Source organism: Homo sapiens, chromosome 15, assembly GCF_000001405.40.
Source record: "Homo sapiens chromosome 15, GRCh38.p14 Primary Assembly".
Classification (NCBI taxonomy): domain Eukaryota; kingdom Metazoa; phylum Chordata; class Mammalia; order Primates; family Hominidae; genus Homo; species Homo sapiens.
In genome coordinates this window covers 66,092,682-66,113,104 of record NC_000015.10, presented here as the reverse complement: position 1 = coordinate 66,113,104, position 20,423 = coordinate 66,092,682, and the positions used below count along the sequence as shown (strand labels likewise).

Here is a 20,423-nt window from a genome sequence, read left to right as displayed (position 1 = left end):
GTCAGGCAGTGTAAGATTTAATTCAGTAAATTCGACACGTCAACTCTATGCCAAATTATGTACTCCTGTTTCATTATTGCTGTTGCTTTGCACAATTATTGTTTAAATTTAAATCGAATTCCTATGTTTCCTAATTCCTTTGCTCATCATCTCTTGCATCACTCTCCTAGGTTCAGCCTCATTCTTCTTGAAAGTTCTTTAGTTCTTTCAGGGAAGGTCTATGAGTTACCAATGCTCCTATGCTTTATTTGTCTTATGCTTTGATTTTGCCTTTGCTCTTGAATGATAGTTAAGCTGCCTGTGACATTCTAGGCTTTCAGTCATTTTCTTCCAACAGTTTGAGAAGTGGTGTTCCATTGTGTTCTGGACTTTGTCTTGCACTGCCTGCCCTGCAGTTTCCCTAGGATGTGTCTGGGTGTGGAGTTTCTGGGGGTTTTTATTTGTTTGTTTTATACTCTTTGCTTCTCAGAGGTATATATCATCTTTGAGCTAAGGATTCATGTCCTTCATCAATTCTGGAAAATTGCCAACCACACCTCTTCAAAAATCTCCTTTCTTCCATTCTCTTAATTTCTCCTGTTGGAGCTCCAATATGTTGGATCCTCGTATTCCATCTTCTGTCTCTCCTAAGTTCTCATTTTCAGTCTCTTTATCTCTCCATGCTGCACCTTGGACATTTTCCTTAGATCCATTTATTAGATGCTGTGGTTCTGCTAATTAACCTGTCTGGTGTGGTCTTAATTTCAGTTTCTTTTTTCATTTCTAGGAGTGCCATTGGTTCTTTTTCGGATATGTTGTGCTTTTTCTGTCGTGTCCTATTCTTTCATTATGAATTCCATTCCTTCTTTTATTGCTTTAATTATTTTAAACATATTTCTTTTATAGTCTCTTTCAGATAGTTTTATCTCGAGCGATTAGTTCTATTAGCTCAAGTTCCTAGAGTATCAATTCTCCTGTTCATGGAGCCTGCTGATTCTCCATTATGGCAGATTGTTTCCTTGTACAGGTTGTACTTTTTTTTTTTTTTTTAACTATTAGCCCTTTCTTCCCTCCCTTATGCCCCAAATTGTTCAGCGGCCCTACACATTAGTTTTACATTTTCTTGTCGGGCACTCTAATGGTTTCCCCCGGTTCAAGATCACCCTTTACTTTGGTAGCCTGATTTGGGATTTTATGCTGTGTTTGGTAAAGGCTTGGGGTGTTTTTTCTCTTAATTGATGTGAATTTCACATACCATAAAATCATTTTAAAGTGTGCAATTCAGTGGCATTTAGTATATTCACGATGTGCAAATATCACCTCTATCTAATCACCCCTAAAGGAGACCCCATACCCATTCAGCAGTCACTGCCTGTTCCCCTATCCTGGCTTTTTGTTTCTTGTGGGAGACTTTTTTTCTCCATCCAGAATACCTTGTTTATCTCTAGGTTGGTGGGTAGCATGTTCAAATCCCCCCTACATGGAGCTGGCGACTTCCAAGGCCAAGTCTGCCCTTGAGTGGGTATGAAGTCCCTGGCTCCCAGCCTGCGCTGGGGGTGGGGGGTGGTGGCTGTAGCCAGGTCTAATGTTCCCTGAGCTACCTTGGCTTCAGCATCTCACATTCTGCTCTCCTATAAACTCCCCCTTTCCCCAACACTTAGAAATTTACCGTGCTCTCCTTAGAGCTCAGCTATGCATTTAAACATATTTTTACTGTATTTTGGGAGCACTTTTGTAGCATGAGGAGCTGCATTAGCACTTTCTCCATATCACTGGAACTGACTCTGTTTTACAGAGAGAAGTGGAATGGGGGCTTTATAACCAACCCCTGTGACATTTAATTCAATGCCTTCTTGGAGTGATTGCTAACTTTCGACCATAATAATGACAATTGTGTAATGTCTGGTGGTTTAGCCGGCGCTTTCACCTGCAGTATATCATCTGCTCAGTAGACTGGAGAAGTGAGCATTATTGTTACTGCCCTTTTACAGGACAGAAAACTGAAGCTCAGAGAGGCTAAGTGACTTGTCCACATGGATAAGTGGCAGGCCCAGATTTCAGATGAGTGCGACTTTAAATCCTGTACTTTCCCCTCCTACAGTGGGTTTTCTCTGAGTAGGAGAAACCTGTGGCCAGAAGAGAGAAGTGGGGTCAGTCAAGAGGGCAGGGGAGGAGGTTTGGAGGGGGAGGAGGGGACTGAAGCTATACTGGTTTGAGCTCAAATTTTTGCTAAGGTGTGGGTCCTAACAGGTGCCAGGATCAAGGTGCCAAGAGGGCATGGGGGGTGGAGGAAAGGGCATATGTGTAAGCAGCATGGTGGGGCCTGTCTGAAACTCAGCCTCTCCCTAGCTGCTAGGTAAAAACTCCCTGCTAAACCTCTAAGAGGCTCCCCAAGGAGTCTTGCCTGCTGCCATCACCAGAAACAGTGTTGACACCACTCTCTTGGGTCACCAACACCTGGTGCTGAGCTTTGCTGCCTAGAAGAACAACATCCATCCATCACCATTTATTATTATTAGATATCTATGCCTTGCAGGTACTACTAGGTCCTGGGGATGCAGAGATGAATAAGAAGCACATGGTCTAGCGGGAGAGATGCCATCACAGAAGGATAAGCACAGTTTAAATAGGGAGGCAAGGAAGGCATAGCTGCCCGTCCACCCCCGACAGAGCCCCACTGAGAGGTCAAAGTTAATGCAGCCACCGTGGTCTGGTCCCCAGTCCGTGGGCTTAGAACATTGATTTAGAATGTTCAGAGTAGCTGAGACCCAGGTGATGATTCACACTGACCAAACTCATAAATACGGATGCTTAACCCTGATACCAATTAATTCATTTGCAATGAGAAATGTAACTACCAAAGAGTTGTCCTTGTCCACTTGTTAGTGCTTGTCAGGCCCTCAATAAATAATTGTTGAAAGAGTGAATTCATGGTCTGGGCACCCACAATGCCTGGTGGTCTGTCTGGATTCCCCCTTCTGTTAATGCCTATGTTGGATTCCTCCTGTTCCACCCTGGAACTCCGCCTGTTTGGGAGCCACACGGTGGTTGGTACAAGTACTCTGTACCCACCATCCTGTCTCTCCCTTGGCCCTGCCACCCCGGGGCCCCTCTGCACCCTTGTCCTGCTGGTTGTGAAGCTGCTGTGCCTGTCCATCTCTCTCACTCAGAAGTGAGTTCCTGAGGCAGAGGGATCAAGTCTCTGCGAGGCTTTCCCCAGGGCCAGGCACGGTGTCCAGCCCTGAGTACTGATAAACCACTGAATTTAGTGAGTGAGTGAAATAGACTCATACCACAAATACTGAGAGACCTCTTAGGGAGAGGCAACTAGCTTTATCTAGGGATGGAAGGAATGGGGGTCAAGAAAGACCCCTTCAGGGAGGTGAGTTTTGAGCTGAGTCTGAAAGATGAGTAGGAATTCACCAGGAGAACAAGAGATGGGCAGTGGGTAAGATGGAGCTTCAGACCTCAGCCGGCCGGAGAGTGACTCCACTCACTTCCTCTGCTAGCTGTGTGCCCCCGAGCACGTTGTTTTGCCTCTCCATACCTCGGCTTTCTCATCTGTAAAACAGAGTCCCATTGGGTAACTACCTCTTCGGGCTGTTGTGAAGATTCAATGAGTTGCTACAAATAAAGCATTTAGTAGAGGGCCTGGCATGTGAAGAGCTCAGTAAAACTTAGCTATTGTTCTTGGTTTACTTTTGTGAGGGAGGGCCTCGTCTGGCAGAGGGGCAGCATGAGCAAAGGCGAGACGTGGGAGACAGCAGAGGGGTCAGGACACTGCCCGGACAATCTCATGAGGTCAACAAGGGGTTTAAGTAGCAAGCGATGCCGTGAGGTGGTATCAGGGAGTGGTTGCTCTGGGGGCAGCAGCATGGACCACCAGTGAAGGTGGTGAAAGGCAAGTTATGGGGGGTGTGCAGGGATGGGTGAGCCATGGATGGCTGTGTTCAAGGACTTGGTCAAGGGGATGAAGACCTGGGGTCTGGCGGCTGGGTTTTGCTGGCCAAGCTCTAGCTTTCTCTGGCAGGACTTTCCTCCACCCTCAGTGAGTGCCAGCAGGGCCCCTCGTGCTGATACAGCCGTGGGAGGATTGAGGCATCGCTTCTTAATCACCAGCTGTGGATGTAATTAAGCCTCTGCCATCTGCACCGGGCGGCCTCTGAAGGGAAGCCTTTGGTTGTGTCAGAAGCAGTCAGGCATTTATGTAAGCTCTCTTCCTGGGTTTTCCTGGGCCAGCTGAAGCCCATGAAGTGGCTACCCTGTGCCCAGTCTAAGCGCCAGTTTCTCTACGGGAACTTGCCAATGGCCCCCTTTTGATCTTCTGAATTCATACCTTGGATGTCTGGTCCTTGTTGGGCGTTAGCTGCTTGATGCTGCAAGCCCCACATAGCCTGGCCCCAGCTGACTCTGTGCCTCCCACGCTGGCCTCCTGGCTCCTCCTGTACACAGGAAGCCTTGGCAGTTCCTGTTCCCTCTGCCCGGAATGCTCTTCCCCAGATAGCCACACGGCACCAGATGGCCCGTCCCTCATTTCACTCAAATACTGTGTTTCAGAGAGGCTTCCCTGACCGCCCCGTCTGCAATGGCGGCCTCCTCCCTGACATCTTTCTATACCCTCTTAGCCTGTTTTGTTTTGTTTTGTTTTTTTCTTTGCACTATCACTACCTGGCATAGAATATACATTTTTAAAATTTCTGTCTCCTCAATGGAACTATACACTCAACACAGATCACTGTAGAGTCTACAGTGGGTCATGATGTGCCAGGCACATAGTAGGGGCTCAGAAAATAGCCTTGGAAAATTGGAGGCACCTTCAATCCACTCTATTCCTGCCTTGCCCCACTGCTGTGGTTTCTGGCATTTTCTTCCTCTCCGTCCAGGGCTGCCCACTCCAGGTGCGTTCCGCAGGGTCCTTCACATGACACTCGTGATTCTCTGTCTTGCTCCTCAACGTCCCGTTACCTCACTGCTGAGCCTCTGCATCCCACCCAGCTGCCTGAGTTCTCCACATTCTCTCATTCCCTGGGGCTTCGTGCAGGCTGCCCTCGCCTCCTTGAACCCCCATCCTGCTCTTGCAGTTTTTGCATACTGGTCCTTGAAAACTCAGTGTGGAGCCTAACATTCTCTGGGAGCCCCACTCGACACCTCCCTACCCAGCCCCGGCCCTGTCTTGATTGCAGCCCCTTTCACTCCAGGTCCCATTGTCAATGTGTTTATTGTTTCTCTCACTGGCCATGAGCTCCTGAGGGCCCAGAATGTGGGACCCCTCTGTATCTGTAGGGCCCAGTGCTGGAACGTGCAGGCTGGTTGATGACAAGGATGAGTGGGCTGGCTTTTCCAGGGTACACTCAAGGGATACCCAAAGGAGTAGTCTCTGGGCAGGGCCTGAGAGTCCAGAGTGGAGGGTGGCCTGCTTCAGACAGGTCCCTGGTCTGAGGGCTGCTCCTCTCCTCTTTTATCCTCCCCTCCAGGACCTCAGGTTCCCAAAGCTTCTCCCAGAATTCTGGTATCTGTACCCATGTCCCATGTGTGTGAAGAGTCTGGGAACCCTGCTCTGGGGCTCTGTGGGGACTGAGCTTACTGTCGCAGAACCCAGGAGGCCACCTCTGAGTTAGAAGCTGAGCTTCCAGGACGTAGGGCAGCAGTGACTGGAGGGACGTGGGAGGGACGGAGCTCCTCATGCAGTGCCTCCTGGTTTGCTGAGCGCCTTCCTCCCTCCTGGCCACTAATGGGCTTTTGTGGACAATGGGCATGCCGGTCCCCAAATCTCCTCTAATGCTTGCTCTTCAGTGAGGGCTGCTGAGTGGCCCCAGTGAGGGTGACAATGCAAGCTCAGAGCCTCCCACTGCCTCCCAGTAGCTACTTCAATGTCTTTGGAGACCTGTCTTTCAAGAGCCTTGCTCAGCTGTCCATCAAGTAGGCGGGGTGGGGACTGGCTGGGGAGCTGGACACTCCTTACGCTGTGCTGACCTGACAGTGGCCAAGCCCAGTGGAGAGCCTAGGAGCAGGGTCCCTCGTTGCAGGCACACATCCCACCATCCCCTCCCTGTCTATACCTGGTGGGGGGGTAGGAATATAAACATTGAACTACAGGCTTGGCACCCCTATCACGAAGTTAGAATGGAATAGGTCCTGGAGGTCCCCTGTGTGGCTAGCTGTTAACCCTGTAGTTGCTGGATGATAGGAAGGTGGGGGTCTTGGAAGGGTAAGCAACCATTTACCAATGAGAAGAGGAATATTTTAATATTTTACCATTCAGTGTCTTTTACCCTAGTCTTAGTTGAACTGGAATCCCTCATTTGACGCTGCAGATGTGATATGTCTGGACCTCTGAGGAAGGGGCATATCTGCTCTGATGTCTGGCTGTGTGTCCACGTGGTGCATATGGGATTGTGAGTCTGCATGTGTGGAGGCTGCTCCCAATCCACGTGAGGGATGTCTGTGCAGGCGTGTTATACCAGCTGATATCAAGGTTAACAGCATAGACCCTAGAGCCAGACTGCTGCCTACTGCCTGTGTGACTCTGGGCAAATTACTTAGCTTCTCTGTGCCTCAGTTTACTCACCTGTAAACAAGGGTAGAAATAGTACCTTCCTTGTGGCCTCATTGGGAAGATTAAGTAAGTGACGGTATGTAAAGAGCTCAGAATGGTGCCAGGCATGTGGAGGGTGCTATGGAAGTGATGGCGTTTATTATTGCATACACACATGTATATTGAGAGCTGGGTTTTGCTGTGTGTAAAATGCTCCCCCTACACATGTGTGCACCCGTATGTTCTGCATGTATTACTTGCTGTATGTGTATATTACATGTCTGTCCATGAAAAAGCCCCCAGTAACCTATGTACCAAGTGCATAACTGCACGCTGGCATGTTCGAAGAGGCTGTGCCTTCACTTCTCCCTAGACTCTCCTGAGAGTCACCTTCCCCATCATTGTTTCCCATCTCCTTTCTCCTTTCCCTTTTTAAGCAGCAGTGGTGCTGAATTGTCACCAAGGGAGCCAGAATCGCTTCTTTGCTCCTGATGGGGTGGGGAAGGGGAGCCAAATGACACCATCAATCTCATTCCCACAATGGACGCAGACCTGGAACCAAGGGCAGAAGCCAGGGAGGCCTCCTCCCTCCCCTGGCCAGAGAACTGCCCCTCTGGTTGCCTTTATCCTGCATTGGCTGGAAAGAGAGGAAAACTCCCAAATCTGGGAGCCAGAGTGGCGGCAACTGAAAGGCAGCCCCTAGCCCTTTGGTGTGGCCAGGTGCAGGGACTATAGCCTTGGCCTCTGTTGATCCACAGGGCTTCATCCACCAAACAAACTGCGGAGGCCTGATAGGAAATCAACAGCAAGTGTGATTTAGAGGACTCTGTTTGCTCAGCTAAACTTTTGGCAAGGTAAATGCATAAGCTGCAGAAATTCTCTCTGAAACAGCCGCAGGGCTCAAACATCCTTCAGTCCTCCATAAAGGATTCTCAAAATTATATGGACTAGATTAGTATCTCTATTACATAAAACCATTTCAGTGCCTGCTCAGGGCTTTGAGAATAAAGTCACCAGACAGACCTTTTGTTGCCCTGCCCCGCCAGCACATAGTAATTGAAGATTTCCCTTTAAAAGTGTGTCAGGTAGAAAGAGCTCCTAATTTACTAAGTGGAGGGGCCTTTGTTAGGGAGACCAATGCTTTGTTCTGCCTGTCCCTTTTAATCTTCTTGCACAATGGACTTATATAAAGCACTACTAGAGGATTAATGCTGGGGAGGGGACCATGGCAGGGCCCGGCCTTGCAGAAGGGAGGCCAGGCAGGGCCTCCTTCTCCCTTTTCTGTCTCTCTCTTCCTCCTCCTCTTGCTTTTTCCTTTCCTTTATTTGGGCCTCCTCCTTCTATCTGGACCCTAGAATCAAGGAGCAGGTGCAAGCACTAGGACGAGCCCTGTGGCTTTGTAGGAGTGGCCGCCCTTGTTTTTCCTAATCAGAGCACATGCTTCTCCTTTGCTCCCCGTTTTTTAATTGCATCTCTGCATGGAAACTCCTGAGGCAAGATCCAGGTTTGGGGCTACATTCTCTGTGGGTTGCCAGATTTGAATCTAGTTGAGGTCTTCAGCCCCAAAGTCAAATGCCATCTGGTCCCTGATGGGACAGTTTTGGTTGGAGGGGTTTCTGCAGTACCCGGGCACTAAGCAGCATTTGTTGTCTGAGATGCCTCCCCAACTCTGGCTTCTGGCTCCAAGGAAGAGGAGGAGGAGGAGGCCACTGAACCCAAGTTGAGAGGACTCGCGTTTTGCCTCTAGCAGGGAGCCACCCGCTTCAGGCTTGAAACCCCCATGATGCTGTTAGATGTGCGCCCTGACCTGGCTTTCAGAGATGGAATTCACCTGCTCGGCCATCATCTTGCTGTGTGAATGGATGCAGGATTCCACCTCCCTTGGGTCTTAGCTTCTTATCTGTAATGTAAGAAGACCTATCAGCTCTGAATTTCTATGAAATGAGTTCAAATTGTGGTGACTGTAGAGCAGAGGTTTTTCTCATTTTGAAGCCAATGGGCAAAGTTAATGAGACCCAAGACCAAAGGAAAAGTTTAAAATGGAAAAATGCAATTACCATTCTTAATGAATTAGAGAAAGAACTTAAGAGAGGCAAAGTGATTAGAAAAGAATCATGAAACATCCTTGGAAATGCCATTTGGCTTGTTTCTAGATGGTGTACGTACATAGTTTCATGGTAACTATGGTAAGAGGGTAAGAGGTTCCTAAGCTTTCCCAGGGCAGGGCCATTTCTTCCTAGACTGCATCCCCAAACAGGCTGTCACAGGCCTTCACAGTTTCTTCTAAAGACTTAACTGCTTGGCTGGGGTGGGCAGAGGGGAAAGGTGAGCTAACAGTGACCAGACTGTGAAAGCTGTAACTCCAGACAAGATAACGAAGCTTGTTGGGACCCATCAGCCCCATGTGGAGCACATTCTAGATGAAGACCTTCCTGGAGGACATTTGCCTTCACAAAGGGAGGGAGGGACAAAGGAGGGGCTCCCATTTTTGGTGTCAGGCCTTCACACATGTTATCTAATTTTATCCTTACAGTGACTTTGCAGTAATGCATTTCACTCTCTACATGTGTACAGCTGAGACTCAGAGGAGTGAAATCACCTGCCGAAGGACCCACAGCTAGGAAGCAGTGGAGCTGGGTTTCCAGGGCACTGATGCAGAAAAAGCTGCGGCTGTGAAATCCACCAGGACCTTAAGTTTAAAAGAATGGGCCCCTACGTCTGGCTGGGGGTCTGTGCTGTAAAGTGTCTAAGCTCTAGCTTAGGCTTAAGGACCATGGGTTGCAGCCCTGCCTTGCACTTTAACTAGCTAAAGACTACGATGTGCTGTTCTACTTTCTGAGTTTCCCTTTCCTCATCTACAAAATAGGAGTAGCAGCCCCTGTGCCACAAGAGAATATGATGGGGCTTTGTCCTCACCAGCCCCTGACCACCCCCACCTTGACCGGCTGGCAGTAGAAATAACAATATTCTACTCCTCTTCCTCATGTTCCTCCTTTGCCTTCTCCTCTCCCATCCTCCTCTTACTCTTTCCCTCTTCCTCCTCCTCCACTGTCATCAACATAGCTAACACTTACATAGCACAAACTATACGCTAGGCCTCATTACTAACTCATTTAATCCTCACAATCCTATGAAGTAGGTACTATTAACATTCTCAGACAATTCTCTGTGTCTCAGAAAATGGAGACACAGAGAGGTTATGTAACTTGCCCAAGGTCACACAGGAATGAAGCACTAGAACTGGGGAGTCAAACCCAGGCATCTGGTGTCATTTTCACGCTCATAATAACCATTCCGTTATAGCCAGTAGCCTGCAGACTTAGCTGCTCCAAGGCTGCACTGGAAGCTTCTGTGTCTGGCATCTCTGGAGGTTGAGGAGGGACAGATTTTAGCTGATGGGATATGGCTGCAGCTGCCGGTCTGACCCCCACTGTGTGCGGTCACCTCATCCCCTATCCAGCCATCTGTCCCACTCAGTTCCTATTCTAGTTCTCATTTGCTGCTGGGATGGAACTTGGTCTGGGGAACCCTATTGTTAATTCCCTCTGTGCCTCAGTTTCCTCATTTGTGTAAAGGGGATAATAACAGTGCTTTCCACTTGTGAAAAGGCTTGGGAAGATTAGGTGAATAAATTCATGTAAGGTGCTTGGAACAGTGTGTGGCACACAGTAAGTGCTGAGTGTCAGCTCTTATTATCCAGTACAGCATGATAACGCAGAGAAAGCTGTACCGCTAGGCCAAGGGCCAAAGGAAACAAGTTTTCAGTTCTGGGAAGGAACCCTGGGTGTATAAGCATAGAGTTGGGAGGTGGACAAGACCCCTCCCTGTCTACCTAAAGAAAATGTTTAGGCTGGGTGTGCTGGCTCATGCCTGTAATTCTAGCATTTTGGAAGGCTGAGGTAGGAGGATCGCTTGAGGCCAGGAGTTTGAGGCCAGCTTAGGCAACTTGGGATCTGATATGAGAAAGACCCTGTTTCTACAAAAAAAACTTTTTTAATTAGCTAATTGTGGTGGTGCATGCCTATAGTTCCAGCTATTTGGGAGGCTGAGGCAGGAGGATTGCTTGAGCCCAGGAGTTGGAGGTTACAGTGAGCTGTGATGGCTGCTCCAGCCTGGGCGACAGAGTGAGACCCTGTCTCAAAAAAAAAAAAAAAAAAGAAAATGTTTAAAATGGTTAGAGAGAACAGCAAATAAATATTGCCAAGCTCCTAGTCTTCATCATGGAAATGAGGTGCAGGAACTCAGCTTGATGAATGGAGAAGCCTAGTCATGGCTCTGCTTGCTCTAGGACATGCACAGATCGTACCACTTCCACCTAGACAGCAAAGATGTTGCTCCTTGCAGGGATACAGCATTGGTGGTTCGAACAGCTCGGCCGAGAAAATCCTTTGCAAAGCAAGGAAGGCTGGGGTACCAGGAGCCGGCCACGAGCAGATCTGGGGCCCGAAGCATCGATTAAGGGAATTGACTGCAATGCTGGAGCTTTTATCAGGCCCAGTGGCTGGATGTGATTGCTTTATGTGGAAACCCAATGGGAATGTTCTGACAAGTTGACAATTTTAATTGATAAACAATTATTAACAGTTAAGCCATGTTGAGGTGAGGCAGGCTAATACCCTGGGGCGATTAGTAGCGTTGCAAGGGAGGTCCTCAGGGGATTTTGTAATCTGACACTGGCATTTGATGACAGAGGGCCCCCAGGGCTTCAGACTGGGGAGGCCAGAGCCTAGGCTTTGATGCAGAGTCACTGGAATTTTTCTAAAGAGCATTTTGCCATCTAGGGATTTGGGGCTCAGCATTGCCCTGGTCTTATAGCTTAATTATGTATTCACCTTCAGCCAGATGGGCATGGCTCAAGTTAGTACAATTAGAGCCCTGATGAGAGGAGAGGGAGCCTCTGCAGATTCAGATACTCATTTGTTCAGGATGTATTAATATTTATTGAACACCTGCCATGTGCCGGGCATCATGCTAGGTGCTGGGACATAGCCCATTCTTTGCCTTCATGGAGGTATGGAAGACAGACAAGTAGTAGAGAGAAGTCAGTGCTGTGGCCTATGGGGCAAACCAGATACTGTGGGAGCAGTGAGAGGACCTCATCCAGCCTGTGGGGAGTGGGTGGGCAGTGCAGTCAGGGGAAGCTTCCTGGAGGAAGTGACATCCAAGTTTATGTGAAATGTACACAAGTAAGTGGTGGGAGAGCTGGAGATGCAGGTTGTAGATGGAGTTCCAGGCTGTTTGAAGGCCCAGTGTGGGGAGGGCAGGGGCTCATTCACAACCTGAAGTTCCAGTGCCAAAGATGAGAGGGCAGCCGTCCGGAGCGGCAGGCTGGAGAAGTGAGGGCCTGATGAAGGAGGCTGAAGGAGTCACACAGACAAGTGTCACTTTCTCTGTGAAGCTCTTCCTATGTCTTCCCCTGTCCCTGACATGTGGAAGAAGTGTCTACTCTCTCAGGGCCCATCCTGCACTCTGAACTGGCTATGATTTCAGCACCAGTAATGTTCCAGTGCCCTTGCTCGCTGGATCACCCACTCACTGGCTCACTCACCCGCCTGCTCACCCGCTCACCCACCCACCCACGTGCCCATCCACCCACCACCCACTCACTGGCTCACTCACCCGCCTGTTCACCCACTCACTCACTGGCTCACACGCTTGCTCACCTACCTACCCACTCACTCACCCACCCACCCACACGCTCGCTCACTCACCCACTCACCCACCCACCCACCCACCCATCCAGTGGCTCACTCACTCATTCAGGTGCCGTCTCCCTTTCCTGCCATCAGGTTGTTGGTACCACGAAAGAAGGAACTGTGACTTATTTGCTTATGGTATTCCCAGCACAGCATCTGGCACATAGTAGGTGCTTAATAAATGCTTTGGGAGTGAGTGACTGCTCAGAGGAATGAATGACTTTGAAAAACATAGTGAGGTTCCCATGTGCCAGGCATTGTTCTCAGCAGTTTACAAGTGTTAATGATTTAGTCTTGCAATGAATGTGTGAGGTAAGGGACCATTGTCCATGTTTCACAGGTGAAAAAAACTGAGGGAGGTTAAATAACTTGCCTGAGTAACCCACGGCTTGCAACCGGGAAGTAGCAGAATCCAAGCCTGAGTCCCGACAGCCTGGCTCCCGGTCTGTTCTCTGACCTTACACCCTGGCCTGTGGGAATTGAAGTGCGGCCCTTGTCCCTCTTTGGACAGCTCTCTATGGGGTGCCGGAGAGAGAGAATTCTCCCTGCGGCACTCCAGGCCCCTGCTCTTTAGGGGAAGGGTCAGGAGCAGGTAGGGGGAGGATTCACCGCCCAGAAGACCAGGAGGCAGGGCAAGGCCTGGCCCTCTCTGTATTTTGGACTCCTCTATCTAACCCCTGCCCACAGAGCCCAGCCCACAGGAGGTGCCCGGTAAACACTGGTAGAGTGAATGCACATGTACATGGTACTGCATGAATGGGCAGAGCGTGCACGGGGGCAGGGGGACCTTGGGGTACAAGCTCACATTTCCCCCCCAAAGCGCAACCACTGGGGCTTCATGAGACAAAGCGCCTGAAGGTGGGACTGGGGCCTCCTTTCATTCCACGCTCCTCTTCTCTGAGGACCAGACACGGAAAGGGCTATGCCCAGTGCTGCCCTGGTAGATGATCATTCACCAGTGAGTTGACTCTGGACTGTGTCTCCTTCCCCACTCCCAGTCCCAGCCCTTCTAGTTTTACCAGGGCTCCTTCCTCCCCACCCGCTCCCTGCCTAACGCAGGCCATTCTATCATCCTCTGAGCTGGAAATGAGCCTGAGCATGCTCAGGGGCCATGGTACCCCAGCTCCCCAGCCCAGTCCTGGGAAGAGGAATATTAATAACAACAGCAACATTTTAAAAAGAAAGCAACAGTTATAACTAACCCCTGGTACTTGGTGCTTTGCATGAGTTAACTCATTTACTCTGTGCAATAACCAAGTCAACAGCCATTCTACAGAAGGGGAAACAGGACCAGAGAGGTTGCTCAAGGACATGCAGCTAATGAGTGGCAGAGCAGGGACCTTGGCTTTTAATGCATTGCTGCCTTGGAATACAAATCAGCAAGGGCACCACCAAATTAAAGGAGAGTGGCAGGATGGGCGGTGGCTCACACCTATAATCCCGGCACTTTGGGAGGCTGAGGTGGGCAGATCGCTTGAGGTCAGGAGTTCGAGACCAGCCTGGCCAACATGGTGAAACCCCGTCTCTACTAAAAATACAAAAAGATTAGCCGGGCTTGGTGGCGCGTGCCTGTAATCCCAGCTACTCGGGAGGCTGAGGCAGGAGAATCACTTGAACCTGGGAGGCAGAGGTTGCAGTGAGCCGAGATTGCACCAGAGCAAGACTCCATATCAAAAAAAAAAAAAAAAAAGAAAAAGGAGGGGTGGGAGGGATGGGGAGTGGCTCTTGGCCAGGTTGGGTGGGAGTCACACCCTGCAGGCCCCAGTCCTGCAACCCAGGAGAGTGTTTGGCCGTTAATGTCCTTCTACCTTATCAGCCTTGCTGGGGAAGTGCTGCTTGTTAAAACAATAATTGTCTCTTCATATATGGAAGCCCAATGTGGCCACAGCAATTAAAAGCCAACTCTAGGTGGGCTGAGGAAAGGACCAGCCATTTTTATTCTTCCTGGCTATGGAGGGGACTGAGGGCTGGGAACTGTAAAGAATGAGTGGTACACATCTGATGAAGTGTTTTAGAATTCCCCTTGGTGACTCCCTGAGCCCCACTACAGACACAGACACACACTAATACGTACACACATGCCGTGTGACCTTGGGCATGGCAGAATCACTCATGCTAAGCATGTCACCTCAGAATTGGCACTTGGGTCCACGTGGATGTAGGTCATTTTATTTCCAAGCTGAATCCAATGACAGCCTGATCTGAGACCTCTTGCCAAGAATGCTAATGGCAGACTGATCAATGTGCCTTGGAGCACTGGGGAGACTGGGTTCGGGGGTGGCTCTGGAGATGATATGCTGGAGGATTCTGGGAGGCTACCACCCTTTCCCTGACCTCCCAGCCTTCTTGGATCTTAGCTGAATGTCAGGCTAGTTGGCCAGGGGGCGTGGAAGTTGTCTTTATTTATCCTGACCCTTTCATGTAAGTAATTTTTATAGTTCCATTAACTAGTAAGACCATTTGCAAACTTCCAGGCAAAATATATGACCACAGGCACCTCAGGGACTTGTGGGTCATCTTGGGTGGAGGCCCAATAGAAGGGAGAATTGATTCAGAGGGCTTCCATGAGCTGGGGACAGCAGATGGGGCCACCTTTGGTTAGGGAAGGGCCAGTGTTATCTGAGCAGCTTGATTGCAGAGGAGACCCCAAGTCTGACGCACACACACCTTTGCTTGGTGCCAAGATCGCTGTCCTGGGTCCCGGCCTGCTTATGCAAGCTCACCTGCTGCCCCAGAACTGATGCCCTGGCCTTCCATCTGTACCTCTGAACACGTTTGTTCCCGGGCCAAGCTCTATCCTGCATTTGTGGAACAAATTCCTCTCAAACTTAGCTTGAATCAGTCAGCCAAAGAAGTTGGCAGTTGCTATCATGGAGGCTTTTACTCCCAGAGCTGGAGGGAACATTTAGATCCTGTCATCCAACCCTTTCATTTCACAGACAGACAAACAGACCCTGAGGAGGGAGGGAGATGAGCTAAGTTCTCACAGCAAGTCAGTGACAGATCTGCTGCTGGATCTTACTCATCTTACCCTGTGCGAGCAGGCTTTTGGCATCACACGTGTGGGTGCAAACCTCGGCTTGGCTCCTGGACCAGTTAGAGTCCCAACCAAGAAACAGATGGCATTTTTTTTTTTTTTTTTGTAGTTTTTTGAGATGGAGTCTCGCTAGAAGGCTTCTAGCACACTGGGAGGTCAGAAGCAGGACTGAAGCAGGGTGGTGAGAGTGCAGTTCATATTTCTTGGTGGGGCCAGGAGAGGGTGAGTGGCTGGCCCCATCACACGGCTGGTGCTGTCAGAGCCCAACCAGCTGCCCTGTCCACGACAGCAGATGGATGTGCAGCAGTGTGAAGAGGGACTTGACAAAACACTCTGTTTAGAGTTGTAAGTTTCCAAGAAGGAGGCCAGGGTGGCAGCACCCTAACCCAACCCCTCCCAGGCAGTCACTGGCATGGGGGTCTGTGGTCTGAAAGAGCTTAGGGCACCCACACGCTCTAGGAGCAGCAGCTGAGTAACCCCAGGCCTCTGGAGATGGGCTGCCAGCTGCTGGCATAGGAGTCAGCCGCCCCAGCGCCAGGGATGGCCACCTCCATCCTCCCTAGGAGACTCTCCCCGCAGCACCCCCAGCCCCTCCCCACCAGGTGTCCAAACACGCGGTGGCCCAATTGCCAAATACGGCAGCCTGAGCCTCGGGTATTTGCTATCAATATTTCATGCTTCAAACAACACTTACGAAATATGAATGGATTGAGGTTTTGACAAGCAAATAGTGCAGGCAAAATACCAGGACGATGAGGAAAGGAGGGAGATGCACCTGCATCCCTGGGGTCAAGCTAAGGGACTGTGGGATGACCGTCCTCCATGAGTAGCACAGAAACTGACCCCGAAGCTGCTGCCTTAGCAGAGTCCTTACCAGGGTCTAGGGGCTGGATACAGGACTGAGCTGAGGTCTGTGTCTGCAGTGTGGGGGGCGGTGTTCTGCAGACTGTCCTGCTGGTCTCTGGGGCTTTGGGAAGTGACCAAGGGAAAAGGCAGTGCAGTGTGGAGCTTGCTCAGAGCACCGGAAGGCTGTTCCCCCCCAGCTTGGAGAAGGCACAGGTGGTAGGCAGATGGGCTGGGTCTCTAGGATCGGGAGCAGGGGGCAGGCTGGTCATTGGGTGGTCTTCCTTCTCAAATTACCTGCCCTCCACCCTATCCCTAACCTGTGTGGTGCTGAGCATGTTGAAGCAGCTCCTCCACCCTCTGTCTCTGGTCACCACTGACCTTCTTGTGGGCCTGTCACAGCACCCCTCTGCTGTTCCCTCTGGAACGGCCCCACCGCCAGCCCCTGAGCCATGTGGGCGGGGGAGGCTGGATACAGCCTGGGCAAAATGTGAAGTCCCCACAGCCTTGGGCTCTCTCCACCTTCAGAGGCCTCTAGCTCCAGGAGCCACCCCAAGCTCCTTCCTCCCTGTCTGAGAGGCCACACACTGCCCAAGGGGCCATGAACGCTCAGGCCTCAGCTTCTCCAGGTATAAAACAATGGGCCAGGACATGATTTTCTCTTAAGTCTCTTCGAGTCCTGACACTCGGCAGGTTGCAAGTCACTGCTTGATTTCACCGCCCTCGGCAGAGACCCCAGGGATCAAGGTCCTGCTCTCTGCAGTCAGAAAACAGTTGGCGGTGTTAGTGAGCTAATGTGACAAGCTGTAACACGGATGAGCCCAGCTGTGGAGCATGCAGGGACCTCAGCCTGTGGGGGTGGGGATGAGGGACAGGGAGCAGCTGAGGCCAGGGCTGGGAGCTGGCTGGGCTGAGGGGCTGGCATCCCATGGGGAGCCAGAGGATGGACACTGGTGTGTCCTGGGGGCACTGACCCATTTGAGCTTGTTTGGAAAGTCCAGTGAGAACAGGGGGAGCCCGGGCAGCAGGACTGACAGTCTTGCTAGCTGCCGCGTGAGCAGCACATTGTGGTTCTAAGTGGAGCTGTTCCCCGGGGTCAAGGCCCACTGGGTTCTCCAGCACTGGGTTAGCCGCTTCTCAGGGCTGCAAGCGAGCGGGGCTCCAGCACTGGGGAAGCACCACAACCCTCCCCGAAGGCTACCTGTGGCAATCAGAAGGACCCAGGTACTAGGGATCTCCAGACACACCACAACCCAGGCTTGCAGTGGACAGGCTGACTCCAGACCACTGACCAGTGGGGCATGTGAAATGGCTCTTCTGGGGTCTACCTTGCCTGGGGCCTGGGCAAAGCTAAGGCAGCAGCTTCGGGGTCAGTTTCTGTGCTTAGGAGGGGCCAGAGGACCACATCAGCCATAAAATGAGCCTTGTTGTTTAACCCAACAGCATCTTCCCAGTGGGCATTTAGGCCAGGCAGTGGGTGGGAGGCCATCAAAGGGGACCATCTGCTCCCCTAGCCCAGGCCAGTACTGGGCAGAGAGAAGTCTCTTGCTTTCGGGAAAAACAAAACAAAACAAAAAACCATCTAGATCTGGTCTAAGGAATTGACAGGGTTGATGGTAACTGCTGATTCCCTGAGCTTTCAGACTTGGTGGAGGTGGCACATGGGGGCTTTCTGTAATCCTTCACTGATGGCTTAGATGGTGGGGCAGATCTTTCAGGAGCAAAAGATGACCTTGAGGAAATGTGGATTCTGTCAAAGAAAGAGAAAAATAATTTCCCTTCCTCAAACTGCTGTCAATAAGCCTCAGCACCAGAGTGGTTGAGGCAAACTGCCTGCCGCTGTAACCTCCCACCTCAGGAGGCTGCAGCATTCAACTGCGTGATAAGAAATTGCCAGGCACTTTCTAATTACAATTATCATCATCGTGGATGTCTCTCTTAATTACTTTCTTATAATTAGCTGTTGCTTTTTTCCTCTGCATGTGTGTACTTTGCAGATTTGCTGACATTTGAGAGCCCCAAAATAGGGACATTTGGGGAGGAGGGCAGAAAGGTGGGGGGAAAAGTGAGAAGGGACCTTCTTTTCAGGCAGGCTGATACATTTTGGGGCCTTTTCAGAAGGATACTAGGGAAAGCAGAAGATACAAGGGACAGATCATTTCCTAAGCAGATGGGGAAAGAGAGCAGGGGTGTGGATTTAGGAGCTGAGGTTTGCGGCGGTCTCTGTTGTTAAACGTTGCAGGAAATGTTCTCAAAAAGCCAACGGAGTTACCGCTTCTCCAGCTTGGGTTTCATTTTAAGAAATGAGCTGGGATGAAATGTACTCTTGTAGGATCCATTCTGGAGTTAATTAAATAACTCAGGTCAGGTGTAGCTTGATTTTCCCCCCCAAGCCAGTCATGCGTTCTAAGCATCCCTGGGCACCAGGGAGTTGTGACAAAATGGATTATGCTCCTTGACCAGATGGTTGGTTTTCACTGTTTGTTCTGGTTCTTCCTCCCTCTCCCCATGTCCCCTCAGCCCTGTGTACGGAGGAGTGTGTGCACGGCCGCTGCGTTTCCCCGGACACCTGCCACTGCGAGCCTGGCTGGGGAGGGCCCGACTGCTCCAGCGGTGAGTCTGGGGTTTGGGGGTCAGGAGGCACCCTGGCTCTGACTTGGTAGGGGAGTGGGTTGTGGTGTGTGCATGCTACATTTTTGTGTTGTGCTGGGGCGACTTGGGGTGGGCTACCTGGGCCTGTGTGAACATCAGGGAGGAGGTATACCTACAGTTAAAACATGGTGGCACTTGAGGGATGGTGATTTATGGGGGCCTGTGAGGGCATTGTGTGTTGTATGTGTAGGGAATTGTGGGATCATCTGGACAACTCTGACTTTTGATGGAACACCTCTAGATATGGTCTTTGATGGTTGATGTGAAATTGACACAGTGCCCAGGAGTACACACTGAGGAGGTCGCCGTCGTCTAGCCCTGGTCCCCAGGTTCACTGGTCCAAAAGCTCAGTTTTGTGGGTGCCCACAGAGGCTCAGAGGAAGTGATTTGTGAGACTGGTGGACATTTGGGATGTCTCTGTGTCCCCAAAATTAGAACAGGACACTCGCAGGGGCAGGTCCTTGTGTTCCTACATTTTTGTGGGTGGATGGTTCACCTTCTCCAGGGAAGCCTTCCTACTGAGCCTGGGGTGAGGTGGATGCTCTCCAGGCTGGCCCAGTGACCCACAGTGGCATGGTGCATTGTCTCTACTGTGGGGCTGGCCACCAAGAGGGTAAGGCATACCTGGCAGCAGTTCAGGGAATTCTCTGCCAAGAACCCAGATGAAGATGAATCCTCCTTCCCCTCTGGTTTATTGCCCCCAAATATTTGCAGATGACTTGGCACATTATGCAGTCAAGGGTTGGTTAATATCATGGTCTTGTTTGATTTTCAAAGAGGACTTGACTAAGGTTGAAGCCCAAATTTCCTCCTGCTTTGAGTTGGAGTAGAGTCTCTTTATGGTGACCTGAGTGGATAACATAGCCAAGCGGCTCCACTAGGGATCTAAGCCCGATTATTCGCCCATCTTGGGGAGCCACCTCCATGTTCCCCATCCCATACCTGACTACCATAGTCATGAAAACTTAGGAGAATGTTGGGTCCATGTTGGCCCAGTGTAGTGCTATTGTCCTTTTCCCCTCTCTCTGCTGCAGTGGAAATATCTAGTTATGTTTTTTTGTTTGTTTTCCCAAAGGCCTTGACTGGAGCCTCTCTGTCTATGCAGTGCATGAGAACATTCTGGCCAAAGCCAGTATGTGGCTTTGTTTTGAGCCTGGGTGATTATCTTAGCTCAGGGAGTCCATGATCTGTTTGAGGTATCCAAGAAACCCCCTAATGTGTTAGGACCTCCAGTGACCACAGTGGCCTCCTCCTTCCACTTGTCCTACTGCTTTGAGTGAGCCATGACTGGGAAACAGGGCCAGACAATGAAAGGTAAACTGAGGCACAGGTGAGCTAAATAAAGGAAGATGTCCAACCAGTCTTTCTGTGGACTTGAGCTGCAAAACACACTGGGTAAAATGTCTGGGCTTCCCCCGCCCTTATCTGTGTTTTGTTTTGCGTAACTTGGCTTACAAGGAATCTTTGAGGAAGGAATATCTGACTTGGATTAGGTCAGCCCTGCTGGGATGGGTCTGCCTGCTGCTGCTGGATTATAATGCTGAAGGCAGCCTATTGGAGGTTGAAATACAGCCTGGGTCCCCCGGGGCCCTGAGTATATAGAAACCACCAGTGAGTGCAACTGTGTTTAGTGCTCGCTCTATGCTCGGGACTGTGCTGGGCCGTGGGGAGGGCCCTGGAG

The 20,423-nt window shown here is 50.5% G+C and overlaps 1 protein-coding gene across 23 annotated transcripts in view, besides 1 other annotated feature; it reads left to right on the top strand.

Annotated features, from left to right (window-relative positions):
• MEGF11 (multiple EGF like domains 11) overlaps window positions 1–20,423 on the top strand; it is a 358,452-nt gene that overhangs the window by 140,646 nt on the left and 197,383 nt on the right. For all 23 annotated transcript variants that reach the window (NR_169555.1, NR_169554.1, NR_169558.1 and 20 more), the window contains one exon: window positions 18,611–18,703. Coding sequence is in view for 18 of the 23 variants with exons in the window: in NM_001385030.1 (NP_001371959.1) it covers window positions 18,611–18,703 (93 nt within the window). In the remaining 5 variants the exon portion in view is untranslated. The remainder of the gene's footprint in view (window positions 1–18,610; window positions 18,704–20,423) is intronic.
• Window positions 16,008–16,788: an enhancer, noted in NCBI's record as "H3K4me1 hESC enhancer chr15:66388655-66389435 (GRCh37/hg19 assembly coordinates)". NCBI's record gives its function as "activates a minimal SCP1, AML or CMV promoter by ChIP-STARR-seq in primed H9 embryonic stem cells {active_cell/tissue: H9 hESC(primed)}" and the evidence as "EXISTENCE:reporter gene assay evidence [ECO:0000049][PMID:30033119]".